Source organism: Homo sapiens, chromosome 1 (assembly GCF_000001405.40).
Source record: "Homo sapiens chromosome 1, GRCh38.p14 Primary Assembly".
Taxonomy (NCBI): Eukaryota; Metazoa; Chordata; class Mammalia; order Primates; family Hominidae; genus Homo; species Homo sapiens.
Window position 1 is genome coordinate 50,188,061 of NC_000001.11, and position 22,379 is coordinate 50,210,439.

The following is a 22,379-nucleotide window of genomic DNA, read 5'->3' on the forward strand; positions in this document are numbered from 1 at the left end:
CTCCAGCCTGGGCAACAGAGTAAGACTTGGTCTCAAAAAAAAAAATTAATCATGGCCAGCAATAGTGTAGGATGCCTCATGAGGTGGTGAGCTTCCTGTCCTTGGAAATGTATACATTGAATGGTCGGCTGTCTTGGATCATGCCATGAACTTTTGGGGCCACTTCCAGCACCAAATTTCTGTGAAGCAGATTTCAGGAATATAACTTTCTGCTGAGTTCCCCATTGCCACTGTATGTCACCTTTATGTGACACTTACTATGTCTCCACTTACTATGAACCACAGTTATAGAAATTTGCAGTTTTGTGAACAGAATGCCTGGCTCATGAAAAAAATCCAGTCAATGATAGAGGCCACGTCATTACTCTAATCCACAGGGGCCCAACAAATGGCGTTGCTGTTTTCCACATCCAAGTTCTAAACCAATTGAGAAGTAAGACAAAAGAGAAAAGTGTATGGAATCCTAAGGTCATCTTTATTGCCAATTAAGGCCTGGATGGGTTGCATGGACACAGTGGGCTCCATAACACTGAACTTTACACTTTGACAGACTGACACACCCTGTCACAAGTGCTCTAGACCCCACAGGCCGAGAGCAGAGCCTGCCCCCATAAGACTGAGAGCCTGGAACAGAATGTGTGCTTCCAGCTGGCGTCTGGCTCCCAGAAGGGAAGAAGCAGGCAGCATTTGAGCCTCACATGCCCATTTCTTTTATTGAAGCCTCCATTCAGAGGAGTCACTTCTTTTCCCTGGGGAAGAGTGGATGAAGGGATAGCAATAGGCCTGGTCTGTTGCTGCAGGGGGTTCTCTCCACATGGAAGGAAACACTGGGAGTGGGAAATGAGTATCTCCCTGTTGGAAGCAGCCCTCTGTATTGCATGCTTCATTTGTTTACTTTCCTTTCCAGACTGGGATTCGTGAAGCAGAGACATTCCCAACACCCATCCCAGGGCCTGGCACATAGTAGATGTTTAGGAAGGGGAGGAATGAATGAACTCCCATCTTCTAATGCCAGTGTTTTTCTAAAGGAGCAATTTTCTGGGGCTAAAAAGGATGCCTTTTCCCTCTCATTTTATCCTCCTCATTGCACCCAACATGCCTTTATCGTGTTTTCCATGTCCTCTCCCTTTTCTGTATTATGGAGGACAGACAAGGAGTGAGGTATTGCTGGATGATTCAGGGAACATTCTTCCTCAGGTCATGCTGTTCTTCCCACCCTGCCCAGGCCAAGCCCTGTGTATGAACAGGTAAAGGGAGTTGTGGGTGCTGCATGGGAAGAGGCAGCCCTCAGCCCTCGTCCTGATGCCCCATCTGTGATGAATGACAACGCCTGCTTTACCCACCTTGGTGAGACTTGCTGAGAGCAGAATTGGGAAGTCACTTTGGAAAGTGGAAAGTACTTTGTCGGCATAAAGCAGTGGGATCTGTGGAAATGTGTTAGAGGACATTCATGTCAGTAAAGTGGTAAAAGATGGTCCAGACCCCACCAGGGTGGCAGAGGAGGGCAGTGCCTCTACAGGCATTCCCTGGTAGTGTTCCACATGTTTTTTTTGTTTGTTTTTTGGGGGTTTTTTTCCGGTGAAATTGGAGGGTATGTCCCAATGGGAGCTAGATTCCCAGGCTGGCCCACAAAAGCCTGTATGACTCATCACATAATAATATGTGTAAGTATCTACTAAGTTCTAGGTATGTGCTAGACAAATATATCAACTCAGTTCTTACAATAACCCATCAAAGGATAATTGACCCCCTTTTTACGAGCAAAGATGTTGAGACTTATCAAGATCAAATTACTTGCCTAAGGTCATGCAGCTAGTGAGTACTGGAGCTGACCCACAGTCAGGGATCATAAGCATGATGCTATAGCATCCTTCTGGTGGAGGATGGGAAGACTGTGAGCACCAGGGATGGGGAGAGCTGAGGAGCTTGGAGGGACTTCAGATCTTCCATAGAGATCATCTGTAAAGTCAGCTGCTTACAGTCACCTGGCTTTGAGCCACCCCTACCCAGAGAGAGGAGTGGCTTCTTCACTCCCAGCCCTTTCTGAGTTCCAGAAGGAGGTCAGTGCTGGCCTAGAGATGCCAGTCTTGTCTTCAGAGATTCTGGATGAATGAAGCAAACAGGATCCTGACTGAGGCAAGGGGGGTTCTCCAGGGCGCTGGCTCCAGTGTTGGAAGCCCTGTGACTCCAGGCCACTGGCCCAGGGGCATTAATATGCCATCAATGCTGACCCTGAAAATTGGCAATTTTTTGGAAATCTTTCAGCCTAACCAAGGGCCTGACCACTGTAGTCATTCAGTTAGAATTTAATACATGTATATGGAAAGTTGAAAATTTTAGGTACTAGGATGAACATTTGGATATTCAATGCAGGAAGATCTTTTTTCTGTCATTTTTGTTTATCCATACGCCACAGGTTTCATGGACAGGAAACTGAGAGAACAATAGACTTAAGGTTCCATATAGGTGAGAAATACTAAACAGGAATTAGACTTGGTAGAGAATGATTGATGTGCTGTTCACCTTTGGGATTTGTTGCTGCCTTTGGGGATTTAGGGTCTGTCTCTGGAGATGTGTTGCAGTAATTCTCCCTAGCTGAGATTCTACCTATGTTGGAATCAACTTTTGGGGAAATGGTTTTTGTTGTGTCACCAACTTTCAAGTGCCAGCTCCTCTTCCCTGGCAGGGTTCACCCTGTTCCCTCTGTACCCTAGCTCTGGCTGTGCAGAACTAATGGGAGTTAAGGTCATGACTATCCATTATGCATTTATTGGGTGCCAGGTACTGTGCTAAGCCCTTGATCTTCATCACCTCATTTGTCCTCGTGACAGAGGAAGGCTATTATCAGGCCACCATTACCTGACTCCACCACCACCTTTCTCACCACCAGTCTCAGCTCAGCTGTGTCTCCTTCCCGGCCCTTTTAACCTTTGATTAATCTCTCCCTCCTCTGTGTTTTAGTCACACTCATATGTATCCCTGGCATAACACACACATCTTGTGGCACTGTGATAATTGGTCTGTATGTTTACTCATCCATTCTTTTGTTCAACACATTTTATTGAGTGCCTCTTATGTGTTGTCTGTTGCCCTCTTTGGACTTGGAGTTCCTTTACAGCAAGAGACTATGCCTTGTTCTTGCTGTGTTGCCAACACATACCACTGTACCTGGCTCATAGTAGATCCTCAGGAAATATTTGCTAAGAGAAGGCCTCTATGTGAGGTCTAGTCCTAGAACAATCTTCTTTCAGTCCTTCCAGCCCCAGGCATTGGAAAATGGGAAATATGTCCCTTAGCTCTTAGCTTGGTGGAGAAACACAGCTGGGATTCTGGGTGCCTGACTCTCAGTGGTCCACCTTACTGGAGTTACAGTTAACTCCAAAGAGCCAATAATATCAACATCATTTCTCATGAGCTGTGGGTGTTTATTCATTTTTTCAGTAGGTGTTGAACACTTTATAGGTATCAGGCTATGTGCTGGGAGCTAGAGTCACAGAGTTGAATAGGACACACACACACACAAGACCTACAACCTAAAGAGATCATCAGCCTAGATGGAGAGGTGGTCAGTTAAGGTTGAAACGGGTTAAGTACCATGGTTCATTGAGAACACTGCTGGGGAGATTTTTAGGAGAAGGTGAGATTAGAGAAAGCTGCCTAGAGAAGATGTCATTTGATCTGAGCCCTGAAGAGGAGTAGGATTTGGACTTGAGGAAGTAGGTATAAAAAAAATGTCTGTATGAGCAAAGGTATAAAGGTGGTAGGTTGTGTTTTGAGGGAGCACAAATGTCATTCGGATAATTAATTTGTCAGTAATTGGCAAGGTGAAACAAGGGTGACCCTCATTGCCATGGGCATATCACTATGATGTTTTTATTTCCTTCTTCCACTTCTTCCTCTTACTCAAAAAATAGTTCTGCTATTGACACACTTTGTCCCTTAAAGAACAGGGGTGGGAGAACCTTCTGTGGAGTGAAGCCCTGTCCAGACAGTCACATGGGGTTCTTAGTCCTTCAGCCCACACTGCAAATGCACACACTGGGACCCCCTATATAAAGGCCCCTCTACATCTCAGCCATGTGCTGAGAAGGAGCCCACAGAGGCCTCCCAGCCCACCCGTGAGTTTCTAGAAGATGGAGATACTGAAGGCAGCTGCCTCACTCCATCAGCAGGAGGAGGCCAGGGAGGCAGATTAGTCACTCACATCATTTTATCTGTTGAGTCAACATCTATTTTTAGGCATGGAACCCATAAAGGGACCTGGCATGTCTGTCATGGAAAGGGGGAGAGTGCCATGGATGAGGGTTCTGCTCATCCTTCATCTTCTTTGCTAGACCCATTCTCTCCCCTGAAGGTCACAGAAGCAGGGTCCACATTACTGCTGGAGGTTTAGGTCTTAATGTCAAAGGTCTGGTTTAATGTGTTCAATTCCTTTTGCACACATGCTTTTGTGTGCACGCACACACACACACACACACACACACACACACACACACACACACACTCTCACCCCTACAGTCTTAATAGGTCTTATGAATCAGTTGTATGGATTAAATAGAACTTCCAACTGAAAAACGCTAAGGCATATAGGTCTCTTCCTGTCCAACGTTGTCAGATGTGCTCTGAAATGACTGTTTTCATCATCTATTCTGAGCCATAACCACCCCAGAAATAGCTTTAGCAGGAAAGTGCTTTTGTTAGACTAGCTGTAAATTATATTTCAAATGTCTGATGTTGTTTTCTTAAAAAATAAATAAATAAGTAAATGAAAGTCTAAAATTAATGACTGCTGGGGTTTGCTTTGCTTATGTGTACTGCTACAGATTTGGCTTCTTGCAGATGGAATTTCAGATCTGTTTACACTTCTGTGTTAGCTTTTGGGGGGAAGAAAAGCAGTTGAGAGATCTGGGAGGACAAATTTACAAAGTCGAACTTATTATAACCATTGGTGAGGCTCTCTTCTCTCTCTCTACTGCCCTTTCCCTCCCTCCTTTCCATCTTGCCCCCATTTTATTTGTTGTGGTTTTTATCTGCCCTGCTTCAAAGTTAGAGGCGACTGGTCCTTGCAGATGTGACGACAAGGTCACATATCCAGTTTCGCAAGCAGATGTTCATTCAGCCCTATTTCACCAGCACTTTGTCATTTGGTGAGAGCAGACCTCATGGGAACAGACTGGAGCAACACAAAGGATGGAACATAAAAAAATCTTGCAGAGAACCTGATTGCTTTTATGTATTCAGGAAGAAGGGGATGGGGGTAGGGAGGGTGGCAAGGAGAGAAATGTGCAGAGCAGAATTTCATGAGGTTTTTTTTTTTTTTCTGGTTTATTCAAAGATTATTATGTGTTGGATACAGTAAATCATCTATACACCCACTTCCAGGAGGTAAATCTTCAGAACTCCATGTGTGGGTAGCTCTGCATTTAACAGCTGCCATACAGTAGCTATTTTGTTCTGCACTTAGAGACCCTTATCTGTGCATTTGTTTTAAGTTATTGTCAACTCTCCTGTTGTTCCTCTATTGTTGTTCTCCTGGTTCTCATTACTATTACAAGGGTAGCTAAAAATCTGAACTACTGAGTGATTTAAACTGACACCATGAGTTGTAACGGTAGATGAGGGGCTGTCATCTTGGTTGTGGACTCAGCATCTACTCTGAGGGTGATTGCCTATAATGGAATTAGCTCCTCTTGCCTTTTCCTAGGTCTCATATGCCCGTCCGAGCTCTGCCTCAATCAGGGATGCTAACCTCTATGTTAGCGGCCTTCCCAAAACCATGACCCAGAAGGAACTGGAGCAACTTTTCTCGCAATACGGCCGTATCATCACCTCACGAATCCTGGTTGATCAAGTCACAGGTTAAGTGTTTCTTTGTAATTTCTTTCCTTGTATATCAATGTCATCAGCCCTGTTACTCATAAGAGCAGAAGGCTGATGGCTGCTTAAAGCAGATGATATGGATCATGAATAGACAGATTTTTGACTTGGAAGAAAGACTTCTTATCGGTCAACTGCCCAAATTTAAAATGGGCCATCTTGGGAGGTAGGAGTTCTCCATCATGGGACTTGTTTTAGCAGCAGCTAAACTACTTGCCAGGGTTGTAAAAAGGATTCAGGCATCAGGCTGAGAGTGGAACTGTATGACCTTCAAAGTCTGATTCAGCCCTCAACCAAATAACATTACTTTTGTATGTGAAAAGAACCTGTATGCATAGCTGTAACTCCAATTCATAGCATTATAGAGTTAGAAGGAATTGTCCCATTTCACACTTGAGGAAACAGGTTGAAAGTGGGGGATCTGACTCCCCAAAGCTAGTTAGTAGCAGTACAAGGATCTGAACCGAGGATCTGGTACTGGTGTTCTTTGTCCATAATAAAGAAAGGCAGCCACCACCTCTCAGTAAGAAATGTCAGGTACTCTGGGTTGCACTTTTAATGACAAGGTGTTTTCGCCTACCTCCAATTTGATTCCAATTTAGAACTCACCCCCTGAGAATAGTTTAGCACGTTTATCATGTGATTCATGAGACAAACCTTCACAGAAGTCTGCTCTGCCCTAGACATTGTGCAGAGGGACCCTGGAGACCAAGAAAGAAGCAGGCACTGCCCCACCCTTACAGGACTCCAGTGTGGAGTCCAAATACTTGCTAGAAGCTGTCAAGTGCCCCTGAGAGCTCAGGAGAAGGTGTGCCATGCCTGGTGGGAATTGCTAGGAGGGCCCCATTGAGGAGGCAATGTTTGAATAGGAGTTTGGAGGATGTTTCAGAGGTATCCAGCAAAAAGGAGGGACAGAGCAGTGTAAGTGGAGAGGAGAGCATATCCCAAGGCATGGAATCGAGGAAGAACAGTCTATTCGAGGAGGATCAGGCAGTTCAGGGTGGCTGGTGTGAGCCTCAATAGGGAATTTGGGGCCAGATTGCCAGAGGCATTGAATGCTGTGCCAAGAAGTCTGGACTTTATCTGGGTGCAGAATGGAGCCATGGAAGGGTATTTTGTAGGTTTTGTTTGTTTGTTATTCATTTTAGAATGGGAGTCAGTGAAGAATAGGTACTATGCACAAGGTACAAAATTCAAAAAGTACAAAAGAGATACAGAAGATGTTTTTAAAGCATATCATGTGGTCAGAGTTCACTTTTCAAATAGATTGCACACTAGCTACATGTGGAGGACACATGAGAAGACTAGAAACTGGACAGTGAGTGATCAGTTATAGTAACTTTTGGGAGGTGATGATGGGGCAGAGCAGTGATAGAGGACTAGAGGGGCCAGATGCAAGAGAGCCCTGTGTTCTGTGGCTGGGAGGCATCAGTCCAGAGCCATGATAGCAGGAATGCAGGTAAACGTGTTTTGATTGGTGAGAGAGATCAGGGAGCTGGGCTCAGCCCTGGCACCACAGGTGGGCTTACTCCTCACACAATATCCACAGGACCCATCTCTTCCCAAAGATGTTTACCAGTTTGGTGTGTTCACTCTTTACAAAGGCTCTTTCTCTTTCCCCAGGAGTGTCCAGAGGGGTGGGATTCATCCGCTTTGATAAGAGGATTGAGGCAGAAGAAGCCATCAAAGGGCTGAATGGCCAGAAGCCCAGCGGTGCTACGGAACCGATTACTGTGAAGTTTGCCAACAACCCCAGCCAGAAGTCCAGCCAGGCCCTGCTCTCCCAGCTCTACCAGTCCCCCAACCGGCGCTACCCAGGTCCACTTCACCACCAGGCTCAGAGGTTCAGGTAGGCATGCCCAAAGAGGAAGAAGCCCTGCTACAGGGGTTCATAGCTGGGCAAGAGCCAGGGAAGCCCATGGTCCTGACAAATGGGGCAAGGGTAAAAGCTTCCACCCCCAGGAATCACTGTGCAAAACTCCCCCCGAGCCTCAGTTTCCATTCCTGTAAAATGAGACAGTTGGAGCAGATGCCCTTCTAAGCCCTCTTCCAATTTACTACTGTGACTGTATAAACTTTAGATTCTTTGGTAGAAACAAAATGTCTGTATTTAACCAAACATGAAGGTTCAGTTTCAACAAGAGTTAATCACAGATCAGTGACCACATTCAGCAGATTAGACTTAAGGCTGGACAGTGGCTTTTAATAAATTCAAAAAATAGACCATAAGGCAGATCCTTGCCAGAAGGAGTTGTTTTTCCTATCTTCTTTTCCCTCGGCAGGTAACTCTGTTGAGTTCAGGGGAGGGGGAAGTGCCTTTGGTGTTAACCTTATTATGTTAAGTCAGTAGATTCTGGGAAGATAGGGAGGAAGATCCTGTCCAAGCCTGATTAGTGTTTCCTTCAAGTACCCAACCCCCAGGAAGCTCCTGGGGCAGGGGGGCATTGCCCTTCTCCTGGGACTTTTCTAAAAGACAGGTTTCTCTCCATGAAGGCAGTATGACCTTGACTGGTCTCTATTATACAAGAGATAAAAATATGTTTGACTTACCCATGATAAATTCTAAACAATTACTTTATTCCACACCACAGCCCAGCTTCCCTTTGATGAAAATGTTTTTCTCTTTGAGAAACTTCACATGGGAAATAGTAGGTCCTTCTATCTAGGATAGTATGCTCCATCTGGCTACATGAGGAGAAAAATCATCCTCTTTCGTGTCCTCCTATGCCCTGTGAATTTGAAATGGTTAATGATTTCATGAAGAGTCCAAGTCATCTAATTTTTATTTTGCTTGAGAGCACATGCAGTATTTATGTAAAAAGCCTCTCCAGCAGACTTCTAATGGTGGAAACTATCGTTACTACTGCCCTATGGTGTGAATAGCTTGTCCCCAAGTAAGGTAGTGAATGTGAGGAAGATTATAGCGTAATGGCAGTTTGCTGGGAGGTGCTATCAGGCAGTAAACAGTAAGCCACTTTTTAAAAATCTTAACCTGCAAACTCCCCCTGCCTCCCAAAAATGTGTGTAGTAAGATGATTTAGTTAATGTAGCAAGGCTAACAGAAAAGATCTGTTCTGATACATATTGTGTGCCTGTGTATTGTTAATCTGGAACAGAGACCTTTATTTACAAGTTTAATTATAGTAAAAAGGTGAACAATTTAAGAAGCCCCCGCTTTGAACAATTTCACTACAATATAAAACAAAATCCACACAAATGTTCTGAGAGGTGGGGGGAATGGTATTAATTCAGACCTTGAAAGAAAGGGAGACTCATTAGACACTTGCTTTAAACTCTAGCAATGACCTGAACATGAATTACTTGCAGTTAGAGACAGAAAAGGGGGAAACTACCGGTGGATAGACTCCTAAGCAGTGGGGAAAGTTGTTGAGCTTTTCTTCTTTGAAAATGGAGCATTCTTATTAATAGTTCCATTGAGCGATCTTGCCATCTGTGAGGCATTAACCCAGAGACCCTCCTTCTCTTTGCAGGCTGGACAATTTGCTTAATATGGCCTATGGCGTAAAGAGGTAATTAAAACTCCACAGATTGCCAGATGTCCATGTTGGCACAGACTGGGGCTAGAATTTTTTTTTTTTAATTCACTAACTTTACTTTAAAAGAAAAAAATTCTTCCTTTTTCTTCCACCAGCATGTCAAATTCTTAATTTTAATTTCGGACCTCAGTTGATTTTGTTTCTTTTAGGGCACACAAAATGTATTTGTGTGTTTCACTTTTTCTTTTATTTGCAGGTGGGCTTCTCCTATGGTTCAGGTGCCACAGCTACCAAGCCCTTAATAATCTGGTCCTTTGAATGGCTCCCCTAAGGGGAAAGGCTCCGACTCTTTGCTGGCTGGTTTTGCAAACTTGCAGAGCAAACTGTTTTGCATTAGCAATGCCAAGATTCAGTTAAGAGGGCAGATTCCAGCAAATCAGAATTAGAACATTTTGCTAATTGTGGTTGACAATCTTATGATTTTTCAGTAGAAAAATTAGATTTTGGACTACCAGCTCTGGCCAAAGGATAAACAAACACGTGGATGACTTTCTAACTCCTGCCCCCACTTCAGTGTGCATTTCAGAGCACATCCTGAGAATGAAGTGTATCTGTGTGCACCTCAACCAGGGGTTTCTTTTGTTACAGGTTTTAACAGTTCTTATAAATCCTCCCTTGGTTATATGTTATGTGTGTTTTAAACTTGCTGTTCCTGTCACTGAAAGGCTTTTTGTGGGGTTGGGGGCCCAGAGTCAAGGCTTTTGGGGCTCTCTGAATGCAGATTCAAAGTTTTCCAGACCCAGTATGAAATCTGAATCTTGGAAAGTTGGGTGTGTGATGTCACTGTGTCCATGAGATTCCCATATGTGCTTCTGATAAGCTCCACTGCACTGCTAGGGACATAGTGTCTTCATCATCTTGCTCAGTAGAGCTGCACACTTTAATTCCCCTTCCTACAGTCAAGGGAAAGAGATGTAGTCTTTAATAGTCCACATCACACCCCCAGTTCTTTCACTGGCCATCCATGGTAAGTACCCTGACTCTGGGAACTGGTGCATGGTAGAGGAAGTAACCTGACTGCAGACTTCACTATCAGAGGACCGGCCTTTCAAATCTCAATCCCAGCATCAATGAGGATAACTATGAATTATCTCCACATTTCCAGCACACTGTTTGCCTGTTCCCAGGGATTTTACATCTTTCCTAGCTCTATCTCATTCCTTTGCTCCTCTCTGATGTTAGTGAGGTAGTGCTAAATGTTGTGAAAAGAGAAATGCTTATAAATAGATAAGATAGGGGAAGACACAGCTGTAGTAGGCCTGCCACCACCTCCTCCACTGCCCCACCCAGAGTAAACATCACTAGCTGATAATAGCATTCTCTTTTCCTATTGAACCCAGATTTGGATTTAGAACGCTTCCTACCAAAATGCTGCAATTAACTGTCACCAACTAGGATAGAGGCTGTACTTGCAATCTCTTTGCTGGCCCTGACCTTTGACTTATAATAAATACTTAGCTGTTTTCTACCTATAAACAGAAAGAGGTCAGTTCACCAGGGTCAACTCACTTGGTTGGAGGATAGAATATTAAAAAGACAATCTTCAGAAATGATACAAGTTACAAATAGACATGGATTTGCACGTCTAAGGATCTACACCATGATATTTTTTGGCTTTTTCTTGTTAATTGTTTTTAAACAAGAGGGAAGATTGACTTAGTGAATAATAGCAAAAATATTGTCTATTGAGTTGTTATATTTAGCATATATTCAGTAGCCATTTGATTATCCAAATTCTAGTTAGATACAGAACTATTCTTTAATAGGACTTTCAAATCTCCAAGAATATTTGCTTATTTTTAAAAACAGTTGTAGCTCACACTTTACACCATGCTCTTCCCTAGTTTTTGCTTTCTCTCCTTTTCCTATCTCCCCCAGTAAAACCCTGGCCAAATGAAAAGCAAGAAACTATTCAGTGTATAGCATCAAAAATCCGTATATAAGCTCATGCCTGTAATCCCACCATTTTGGGAGGCCAAGGTGGGTGGATCACCTGAGGTCAGAAGTTCAAGACCAGCCTGGCCAACATGGCAAAACCCCGTCTCTACTAAAAATACAAAAAAATTAGTCAGGCATGGTGGTGCGTGCCTGTAGTCTCAGCTACTCAGGAGGCTGAGGCAGGAGAATCACTTGAACCCGGGAGGCAGAGGTTACAATGAGCCAAGATAACGCCACTGCACTCCAGCCTGGGTGACAGAGTGAGACTCCATCTCAAAAAAAAAAGAAAGAAAGAAAGAAAGAAAAAAAAAGAAAAAAGTCCCTATGTAAGTTTGATATGAAACAAAACATTAACAAATATTGTTCTGCTATAGGCACTGGTAACCTAATTGTTTCATCTGGTACATCCCTCACAAATTACACAAGGATTTATTTCATCAGACAGTGAATAGAATTTAAAGGGTCATTTTTTCTTTTCAGGATTGCACAAAAACTGAGAAGATTTCTAAACCTAATACAAAAGCAGTTGTAATAGGGCAAATAACAATTCTATGCTTTTCTAATGTATAGCGATTCAAGATATATAAATGCACAAACCACTTGCAGTCTTGCTTCAGTGATACTTAGGAATAAATTCCAGATAACATAGCATAAAGGAGTAATACATCTTTATTATTATTGCTTGAGTTTGTGGGGGAAACCCTTTTGAATAAATGCTAAATGAAACATGAACCACCCATCTGTTTAATAGCAAGAAAGGCCTGTTCATTGTCACGTATCTCCATCCTCACCAAGAAACATTTGACAACCGTAGGTCAAGGGAGTGCAAAAATGGTAGACTTAAGCACTTTAGGGCCATCTCCTAATCTGCCTTTAAAAAAAAAAACAATGAAATTTCCCAAGCACTGGCCAAAGTGAGTCACTTATTCAACCAATAAATATTTATTGAGCATTTTCTATGTGTCACTATATCTGTGAGATTCCCATATGTGCTCCACTGAATAAACAAATAGAGCCACAGAATGAATGAAATAGACCCTTTCCTCCAAGAGCACATTGTCTATTGTTGGGGTGGGGTGGAGTCGGGGTGGGGTGGAGTCAGGTTGGGGTGCGCTATGAGCATATACTGTGATAGAACTGTTACAGAGCCTTGCTCTGGGAGCCCTGGGAGTCCCTTATGGTTTTTAGAAATTGACCTAGGTCTTTCTCTCAGCATGAACATGCCCTAGCCAGTCAAGCCATTCCCATCAGAGGAAATGACATAGACATTAGTTTTTACATTTTGGTTTTTGAACCCTGAAGACTCTCCTGTAAACACTCACTCAGCCCTCTGCCCCATGTCTGTGTCTGTGCATCTGTGTGTTATCCTTGGTCAGACTGATGTCTGGACCAGTCCCCCCTTCTGCTTGTCCCCCCAGGTTCTCCCCAATTACCATTGATGGAATGACAAGCCTTGTGGGAATGAACATCCCTGGTCACACAGGAACTGGGTGGTGCATCTTTGTCTACAACCTGTCCCCCGATTCCGATGAGAGTGTCCTCTGGCAGCTCTTTGGCCCCTTTGGAGCAGTGAACAACGTAAAGGTGATTCGTGACTTCAACACCAACAAGTGCAAGGGATTCGGCTTTGTCACCATGACCAACTATGATGAGGCGGCCATGGCCATCGCCAGCCTCAACGGGTACCGCCTGGGAGACAGAGTGTTGCAAGTTTCCTTTAAAACCAACAAAGCCCACAAGTCCTGAATTTCCCATTCTTACTTACTAAAATATATATAGAAATATATACGAACAAAACACACGCGCGCACACACACACATACACGAAAGAGAGAGAAACAAACTTTTCAAGGCTTATATTCAACCATGGACTTTATAAGCCAGTGTTGCCTAAGTATTAAAACATTGGATTATCCTGAGGTGTACCAGGAAAGGATTTTATAATGCTTAGAAAAAAAGAAAAAAAAAAAACAAAAAATACCTTTGATGCATTGAATGTTCTTTCATAGCTGTCGTTGTTGAATATAATATACATAGATAGCGATGTGCAGGGATTTTTACCCAGCCAGCTAACTTTACTACCTTCCTTGAAGGTGGATCTTTTTAAGATGACCATTCGCTCATTTGAAGAAGAAAAACAAAAAACAAAAAAAATAATAAAAATAAAACAATTTTTACAAAGTAATGGGATTCAAAGAAAGGAAAAAAAGATTTTTCTTTTTTGTCAAAATATCGATCCAATCAGATTGGTAAAAACCCCCACACAAATTAAAGAGGAATAATAAAAATTGCAAAAATAAAAAAAAACTTTTGCAAATTTTTTTATTTTTCCTTCTTTCTTTTATATCATGTGAACTAAAACAGTCTTCTGTTAGGGGATGGGGGCAAGGGGGATACCTGATGACATTAACAATTTAATAACATTAACATTGTTGCCAAAGAGGTGGTCTCTTTGCTGAAAATGGGTTTCAAGAAAAATCTATTTTTATAAAATATAAAGAATTTTTACAAGAGAATCTGGATTTGAGAAAAAAATATTTTGACTGGCTAATTTAGGGGAAATTGACAACTTTGTCGCGTTCATACTGCACTGGTAACTTTTTAGAGATCAAGATGTGTGTTTTAAACTGGATTCGTAGACTGTTTTTTGAAGGATGGGCTATAAACAGATGATCTTCATATCTTTTCATAGCATGTAATAATAATTAAAAAACAATTATTAATTACTAGGGGAAAGGAGTGTTCGTTCTACCCAGGGTACCACAGTTCCCCACAGTCAAAACCCAAAAGCAAGGAGATGAGTTGAAAGACAGTTTTTCTTTAAGTCATCAGTATGGGATGTCAGCAGAACAAAAATTAAAAAGATTAATTTTCCTTTTGATCTAAAACTTCCTTAGTTTGAGCAGTAGGTGCTACAAAATTATTTACATATCTTAGTATCATAGTTAAATGTAATGTGTTTAGGAGAGGAAAACAAAAGATACATTTGCTTTAAATTCATTAAGAAATTTTCAAATTCACTTTGTAGCCCATGCTGATAGAATTGGGCTGTGTTGGTACATTTGAAACACTGTTTATGTTGCTTGAAACACTTATTTATTTAATCGCCGATGTGATGATGCCTATGGCCGAGATCAAATATAGCTAGATTGGCTAGACTACTTATTTGTTTACTTAAACTATGGGAAGAAGCATATTATTGTGTCATTCTGTTGTGTGTGTATGTGTATATACAATATAAATATATATATATAAAGTTATTTTTTCTTTGGGTTAATTTATTATAAGTTGTAACACTTGGCTAGTTTTGTTTGTATATGTCTTAAAATGTTTTCTTATGATATTTAAGTGACAGTTAAAGAGGTATCAAGGTAACTTGTGTAGAACTATTCTTTGATATATTGTCATGTTTGTTGTGAATATTTTTTCTTACTGCACAGTAGAAAAATAAAAACAACTGAGTCTTTATTTTAATGTAACTCAGATTGGGGAAAACAAAACAGAGCTAAGGGAACAAAATGACTGAGGGAGCACTCTCCCACGTCCAGTGCACTGATCATTTTAGTATGTTTGTGCTTTGTACGGTTATATATTTAAAACGAAAACAAAACAAAAAAATACAAGGGTTCATGCTCTTCCCTGGGTAATAGAAACAGTTACTCGCTATGCATAATCTAGTTGATAGTTAAATTTGCTATTGCTTTTCTTGTCTTGTTATATAAAATCTTTTCAATACAAGTTTAGTCTTAATGGTAATAAAACGTTATGGTTATTTATAACTTGTGCTTATTTTGTGCATTTTTTCCCATGCTGAACCCACTAAGTGCATGTAGACAGGACTGTTGTTTTCACACTGAAAAGGCAAACTTTGTAGTAGTCGTTGTAGTGGTAGACAGATAACGAATACCAAGGCTGCATCATAGACTCCTCCTTTAAATTTTTTTTCTGTTTTTTTTTCCTCTTTTCGGTTTTGGATATAACACCAGATTTCAGTTCAGAGAACACTCGTTCAACATTCAGGGAAAGCTTTTTACGTCACCTGCTATGAATGAACGTAGTTTGCTGGCAAAGTTTTGATGCATTTGCTAAGCATTAGTGGGAAAGGCATGCCAAAATCTTCTCTATAATGTGTTCAATCTTGGGGGAAAAAAAAAGGAAAAAAAATCTTAGGACCAGGCAGTTGTATACTTTAGTTATTAATGAATGACTTCATGTTAATCTTGCTAGTTTAGATGATTTCCAAGGGAAAGTATTGTAAATGTTTTTTTTTCATAATCTTGTTGTGTTTGAATTATTTGTACTTTATCTGTCCAGACAATAAATGAAAGTGTGTAGAATGGATTTGACTTCCCAAATTTTTAAATGTGTTTATTTAAACTTTTTTTCTGTACCATCTTCAGATTTCCCCAATATTTTTATCATTAAACCAGGGAAAAGAAAAGGCAGAGTAAAATTTTATTTTACAGCTTAGCCCAGTCTCTTAAAGTCAGCTCGATATTCAGAAGTCACTGTTCTGGTTCCATGCTATTAAAAGTGTGGTGGTCCCCAACCAGCAGTATCAGCATCATCTGGGAGCTTGTTAGAAATGTAGAATCTGCATTTAACCAGATCCCCAGGTGAATGAATCACTGGTACTTTCAAGTTTAAGGAGCACTGCCCTGGTTCATAAGCCAGAACACTTGGCCTTACCTTTGGTGTTATGATACATTAGCACCTGTTATTCATTTATAAGAAGGCTTGTGACTTGTTCAGAGGACAGGGAGCCACCATTTGCAGAGCACCTATTATGTAACGGGCAGGCTGTATGGTATCCTCTATATTCTCTCACTTTATCCTCAGCAACCCGAGGAGTGTAGACAACCTTATCCTCATTTCACAGATGACAAGACTGAGACTCAATAAGAATAGTAACTTGACACCATAAGCAAATTTCCAGCTGGGATTTGAATCCAAGTCTGATTCCACTGCACAGCACCTCAGCATTAAGGTCGCAGAACTTGAGCATTAAGAAATATTAAGAAAGCAGACCATTTGTATTGAAAGTGACAGCTAAGCAAGAAAGGTCATCTTTTTATTTTAGCACTCATTTCTGTTTAAAAGTAGGAAATATTTGGCTTTCTTACCTTTGAATAGAAACTCAAAACAAGGAATTACTCATAATGTGTCTAAAGAACATGATTTAAGCTCAACCTAGGGAGAAAAATACTGCCTACATTATCATGAAGTCACATTAAAATATGCCCTGAACTTTACAGATTAGCTTTTTAGTGATTTCCTGATACAATCACTCACTGATTATCTACTGTCTTTCATTTTCATTTCCTCACTAACTGAAAATTTATACTCTATAAAACATTGCCATCCATAAACTGACACTTCATGAAATGCCCCCACTGAGCCAGATGAACAAATAGTCAGATTCTCTTCTATTTCTAATTAACCTCTTTTTTATTATTATATTAAGTTACCACATTAGTTGGAATAATTAAATTCAGGGCAAAGAATGAGATTTAATTAACCAAGCTAAATATTAAACTTCTAAGTCAGGCTAAACCTCATATAGTTGAACTTAAAGGTTCTTATTATAGTTTTATCTTAAAGACAAGTCCCTACGTTTCTTTTCTGGAGAAAAAAAAAATGGACATTCAAAAGAACAGTTTCCTACAGGGATAACACAGCTTTACAACCGTGTTTGTAGGTCTAAAAATGTTGCTGCCAAACCTATGATAGTTGCCAGTCATCACCACCCCTGCTCCTTAAAGGTGCCATTTTAGTGTACTTTAAATGGACGGCTGCATTATTTTGGAATATCCAAAGTTAGTAGAATCTTCCCAGTTCATAAAGTTCATTCACTAGCCTCCTCCTACAGATCTATGCAGAAAGTTTTACAAATAGATGTAGGTATTTAAATAGGTCTTGACAATGTCCATAGAAGACATTCTGCATATACTCTCTCAGAAACACTTTCTAGCATCAGCACAATGTGTCTGCCTAACATCTAATAAAAAATTCATCTTGTTGCGAATATAAGCCTGTTACCTTAAATCTCCAGGCAAACATATATAGTTTCTGTAGGTGTTTGTGGAAAACGTCTAACAAATCACAAGAATACTGAGATTATTACATTTCTTTGAGGTCCTAGGTACATTGTATTTTGCTTGGTTGAAAAATTGCATGTCATAGAAAGCTGACGGCATTTACTTAGTGTTATTTTTGTCAACGTGATAGGAGGAGTGAAAAAAATGTGTTTGTGTCTAAAACCACCCCACATCATCACCATCAACATCAAAACTTTACTTACTTCTATTACCGAAGATCAAACACTGACCAAATGATGGTTACTGCCAGAAATTTTGATCACCTGGGGTCCTGTTTATCAAGATCAATCAACCTTTGTTCATTTGTAAATAAAACATTTTAACCCCCAAAGAATAACATTTAAATGTACGTTTGAAACTCACAAGGTCTTGTGGCGCCCATACTCTCCTTGAGTCACTATTTGGGTGTAGATACTTTTAACCTTGTCAAAATGCAGCACACAATTTCCTTTGCCATAGGTAATTCCGGAAACTCCCAGTCCTTGAAATTATTTTGCCCTTACTTCCTGTAGGCACTATGCATTTGTTCCTTAACAGACACACACAGGCAAACATACAAGGCAAGTATTTGTATAATTATGAATTTTTTAACTTTCATCTGTGAATTCAAAAATGATACCTGATAAGATAGCGTTAACAGCAAGAGTGTGTTTTCTAAACCAAAGAGTCATTAAAATCTTAATTTGAGGCCATCCTGCCTGGATCCTTCCACAGCCTTCATGAAAGCTCACAGAACACAGCTTCTAATATCCTTGCACCCTTGACTGCCTTTGTTCTACCTGAAGAAGAGAATAATAAAAGGAAATTACATTTTATTTCCATGAGCTGAAATCAAGTTTTAATATTGTCCAGAAATGACTCGTACCATTCCCTTATCTTATTAGCTTTTTGGCGTATTAGGTAATAAGATAATTTCTCATGGTACAGTATTTATGTAAGAATCATATTTCTCTCTGTGCAGATCACTTACAGAAGTGTCTGTTAACAGGAGAGAATGATACATAATCAGCACTTAAGATTAAAATAGACCTGAGAACATAAAAGTGTTCCTTCAATTAAAGGAATAGCGTTTTTCCCGTCTCATCCTTTTTGTTTCTGCAACAGAATGAAAACTGGTTTAAAATCACCCAACCCCAGGTTAATTCCCAGAAGGCTTTTCTATGCGAGTTCAGCTTAATCTACTAGTGGTTCAAATGCAAAGTGGACTCACATGACATTCCAGTATGCCATGTAATTATTTCAAACAATTTTCGGCAAGGTCCCTAAGGTTTAAGAAATTGTTTCTAGAAAGACCACTGGCATTTATTAAGTTTTTCCTATGGCAGGCACTCTATATGTATATAGCGTTAGTGAGGGGTATCATCCCCCTTTTACATTGAACAGAAAGAAACTCAGAGAGATTAGGTATTTTGTGAAGGTGTGTAAGTACCAGGTCTGTCTGATCCCCAAGATCCCCAGTTACACACCGTGGCTCCAAGTCCATTATGCTAGAATTAGAGCCAAAATAATTACCACATGGTCCACACTTCAACTAAAGGTGAGATGAGTCCTATTATGTAGGAAATAAAGGAAATTACATTCATGTACTGTGCCTGAGTCTAACCCTCTCCCCAAATCTTTAATGGAAAAACAGACCAAATATCAATGGTTTACAAGCAAATTAACAAAGAATAACTAAAAGTGATAGTTTTTAAGCACTGTTGCTCTGCAGTATTTAAAAATGAAATTAGTTTGTTAATAGGTCTATTTTAACCACCACAAATCATTGAGGTAGAAAGGAGTTGAGGATAGGACAGACAGGTAAGAATGTTAACAAGCCAACTTAAGGACCATCAGAGCTGGCCCCATGGGTCTCCCCAAGTGATAGCTCCCACTATGACACACAGATGGGTCCATTGTGTGGACCAATAGCACCATAGTGGCCACTCCTTTCACTATCTGTATTGCCTCTGAATCCTCAGAACAATCCTGGGAAGCATATAAAGTAATCCTCATTTTACATCTAACAAAAACAGAGAAGTTAAATACCTTGCCTAAGGTTACACAGCATGTTGCAGAGTGGGAATTTGCACAAAAGTCATCCGGTTCCAATACAATGTCTTTCTGCTAAACCATATTGCTGGCTTTCAATGTGACACCATTTGTTGATCATCTGCCTAGGTGTGAGGTATGGCAGGGTGGGGGTTGAGGGGAATCAGTCTAAGCCTTGTCTACACTAGAATCCTTACTCTGAACCCCTGCCATATGCCAGATACTGAGCTAGGGGCACGGCAACAAATAAACATGTCTAGCTTCTTTTTTTTTTTTTTTTTTGGTATACCTGTTTTGTGCATGAAATTGTGCAGTGGGTTATGACAGAAAACCAAAAAAGCAGGAAAGGAAATTTAGAGTTCTATTACGAAGACAAGACCTGTGGAGCAATGATCTGGCCACAGAGATGTAGCACAGGTAACTTTTGTGTTGGAGGGAGAATTTCAGATTGTGAAAATCTGTGGGGAATGCAAGGAGTATTCTGGGATCCAGGAAGGAAGGAGAGTTTGCCCTGATGGAAAGAGGACTAGCTTTAGTGAAAAAGTTCTGGGTTTGGGTCCCTGGGACAAAAATTTAATGTCTCTGAAATTCCTGATCAGAGAAGGGAGGATTAGAAGTAAAATATGCCAAGTTCCTGGCACTGACTGAAGAGTAGCAGGAATTAAACAATAGCCAGAAAGAGTTCCCAGAAGAAGAAAACTTTGGCCAGGCCCTTTGGCAGGGAGAGGTGGGTTTAGTGGATGCCCCTGAATGTAAAGAACCAAGAAATCCTGTTTGGTCACTTCAAGTGAGGGAGGGAAGAAATAGTAGGAATACACGTGGGAATAAGTTGCTGGGAATCTCACTTGGCCTCATGGAACTTAAGCTGCTTTTGAAATACAGTAACTCCAGCCACTTGGCAGCAAAAGCTCTGATTGCCCTCAGCAACCAGAGGCCCTATTGGTCCCTCCTCTGGTGTCTGGCCATTACAGTGACTCAGCCACTCCATCTCATTCACCCCTGAGAATTAGACCGCTGGGAGCATCATGGAAGAGTCACAGAGACTTCCCCTCAGGGTAAAGGAGTGGAGGCCACACTAAGGAGCTTAGGTGGGCAGCAGTGGAAAGGGAGAGCACAGGAATAAGAGGAAAAGGGTTGGTCATGCAGGCTGAGGCAGGAAACATCTTTAGGAAAGCAGAGTACCAGAAGGCTTTTGAGCAAGGAAGTGAGGGCCCTTCGTTCATAAATATCTGGTAAAGGGCAAATATCTCCAAGCCCTACTCCTCTTGGCTGTAGGAATAAGAAAGAGTCAAAAGTTCAGTCTCAGCCAAGATGGGAAATGAATCCAATTAAACCATTTGTAAAGGGTAGTCCTCCCCTGCTTGTCACACAATCAGCCTTGTCATTGCCTGGTTACTTAGCTCTGGAAAGCCCTTGAAAGTCAGTTCAACTTCCTCATTTGAATCCTTGGGAGAAAAAGGGTTTTGACTTGTCCTGCCTTCACTTCACCCTATGTAACTAGTTTTCATCTTATTCCACAAATATTAGGGTTCTTCCCCTTAAAATGCCCTTTCCTCCACTCCAAACCCACATTTTTCTCAAAGCATGCATGCACCACCCACCTGGCTAATCCTGCTTGTTCAGCTCAGGATTCACTGCCTCCTGGAAACCTTTCTTGACCCTGGCTGGGTTAAGGATTCCTTGATAATCCCACATCCCTCTGCTTTCCTGTATCACAGCATACTCACATACCATATTTGTACTGCTGCATGCAGCCTCCATGGGGACAGAGGAATCAGGCATGGTGCCTGCGCTGGAAAAGCTCAGGTGTAAGCAGAGTATAGAAGGGCAAGAGCAAAGCTGCAGGGTATTTGGGGAGCATAGAGAAAAGAGCAGTCAATTCTAAATTTGTGGGGTGAGGTAAGGTTGAACTGTAACATGAAAGGAATCCTAGACATGTTTAGGAATCAGCTGTCTCATGAAGGATAGAACAGACTTGGACGGGTAGGCACTGGAGTGAGGCAAGGAGCATCCCACTGGGAACAATGGAAGTGATCCAGGACCAGGAGTCAGAATCCTCAGCTCTGCCCCTGACTTGCTGTGTAGTGTTGGGCAAGTCACTGCCCCTCTCAATTTCCCAGAAGTTAAAGGAAGGTGTGGGATGAGATGGTCTCTGATGGTCTTCCTCCTGCTGACTCCTAGACATTCTTCTGCCCCTACATTTTTCATAGGGTCAGCAAGTATTTATTGGCCACCTATTATGTGTTACTGAGGAAACAATGAGAGGATGAAAAGCAGCTATATACAGCTGAGGTGAGTGCTGTCAAGGTCAAGTACAGGCTGTTCTGACAGTGAGCAACAACACCTGCCTGGCTGAGGAGGAGGAACACCCTTTCTCAGACAGTGGCATTTGAGCAAAGATCTGAAGGATGAGGACAGTGTGTCCCATCCCAGGCCAGGGGAACAGCATGGGCAAAGGGCCAGAGTAGACGGCAGCAATGTTCAGCTGAGGGACTGAGAGGAACCCAGTGACTCAGCAGTGGAGAGGGGAATGGGGCTGATGGTAGCAGGGACCAGATTATCAAGGGTCTTGCAAGCCACAGAAAGGACTTTGATCCTTAAGAGTAATGGGGAGTGCCTACATTTCAGCCAATGGATTCTCTTCTCTCAACCTCAGTTTACTCATAGTGATGAGTAATAATAAATAATAAACCCCCTCTCATATATCTAACCTATATATTTATATCTTTCAATCTATCATCTCCTGTCGGTTCTTTTTCTCTGGAGAACCTTGACTATTACACTTATCTGTAAAATAGAGATGACTGATAACAGTACTTATAAGGCCTCTTATAAGGGCCTTATTCAGTGTTGAGAGGGTCAAATGCATTAATATGTGT

At 41.4% G+C, this 22,379-nt stretch overlaps 1 protein-coding gene and 1 long non-coding RNA gene across 23 annotated transcripts in view; one reads left to right on the top strand and one right to left on the bottom strand.

Annotated features, from left to right (window-relative positions):
- The window catches only part of ELAVL4 (ELAV like RNA binding protein 4), a 155,718-nt gene extending 140,006 nt beyond the window's left edge, over window positions 1-15,712 (top strand). For 10 of the 22 annotated variants that reach the window (NM_001144777.3, NM_001144776.3, NM_001437726.1 and 7 more), the window contains 4 exons: window positions 5,705-5,858; window positions 7,501-7,726; window positions 9,369-9,407; window positions 12,791-15,712. In NM_001144777.3, the coding sequence (NP_001138249.1) occupies window positions 5,705-5,858; window positions 7,501-7,726; window positions 9,369-9,407; window positions 12,791-13,118 (747 nt within the window). In that variant the 3' untranslated portion in view covers window positions 13,119-15,712. Of the gene's footprint in view, window positions 1-5,704; window positions 5,859-7,500; window positions 7,727-9,368; window positions 9,408-12,748 lie in introns of all 22 variants that reach the window. The other 12 variants (NM_001324208.2, NM_001438736.1, XM_006710411.4 and 9 more) reach the window with 2 other exon arrangements.
- Window positions 15,713-18,023: 2,311 nt separating this feature from the next.
- The window catches only part of LOC105378711 (uncharacterized), a 52,673-nt gene continuing 48,317 nt past the window's right edge, over window positions 18,024-22,379 (bottom strand). The window contains exon 10 of the long non-coding RNA XR_947315.4: window positions 18,024-18,248. This is a non-coding gene — a long non-coding RNA (uncharacterized LOC105378711). The remainder of the gene's footprint in view (window positions 18,249-22,379) is intronic.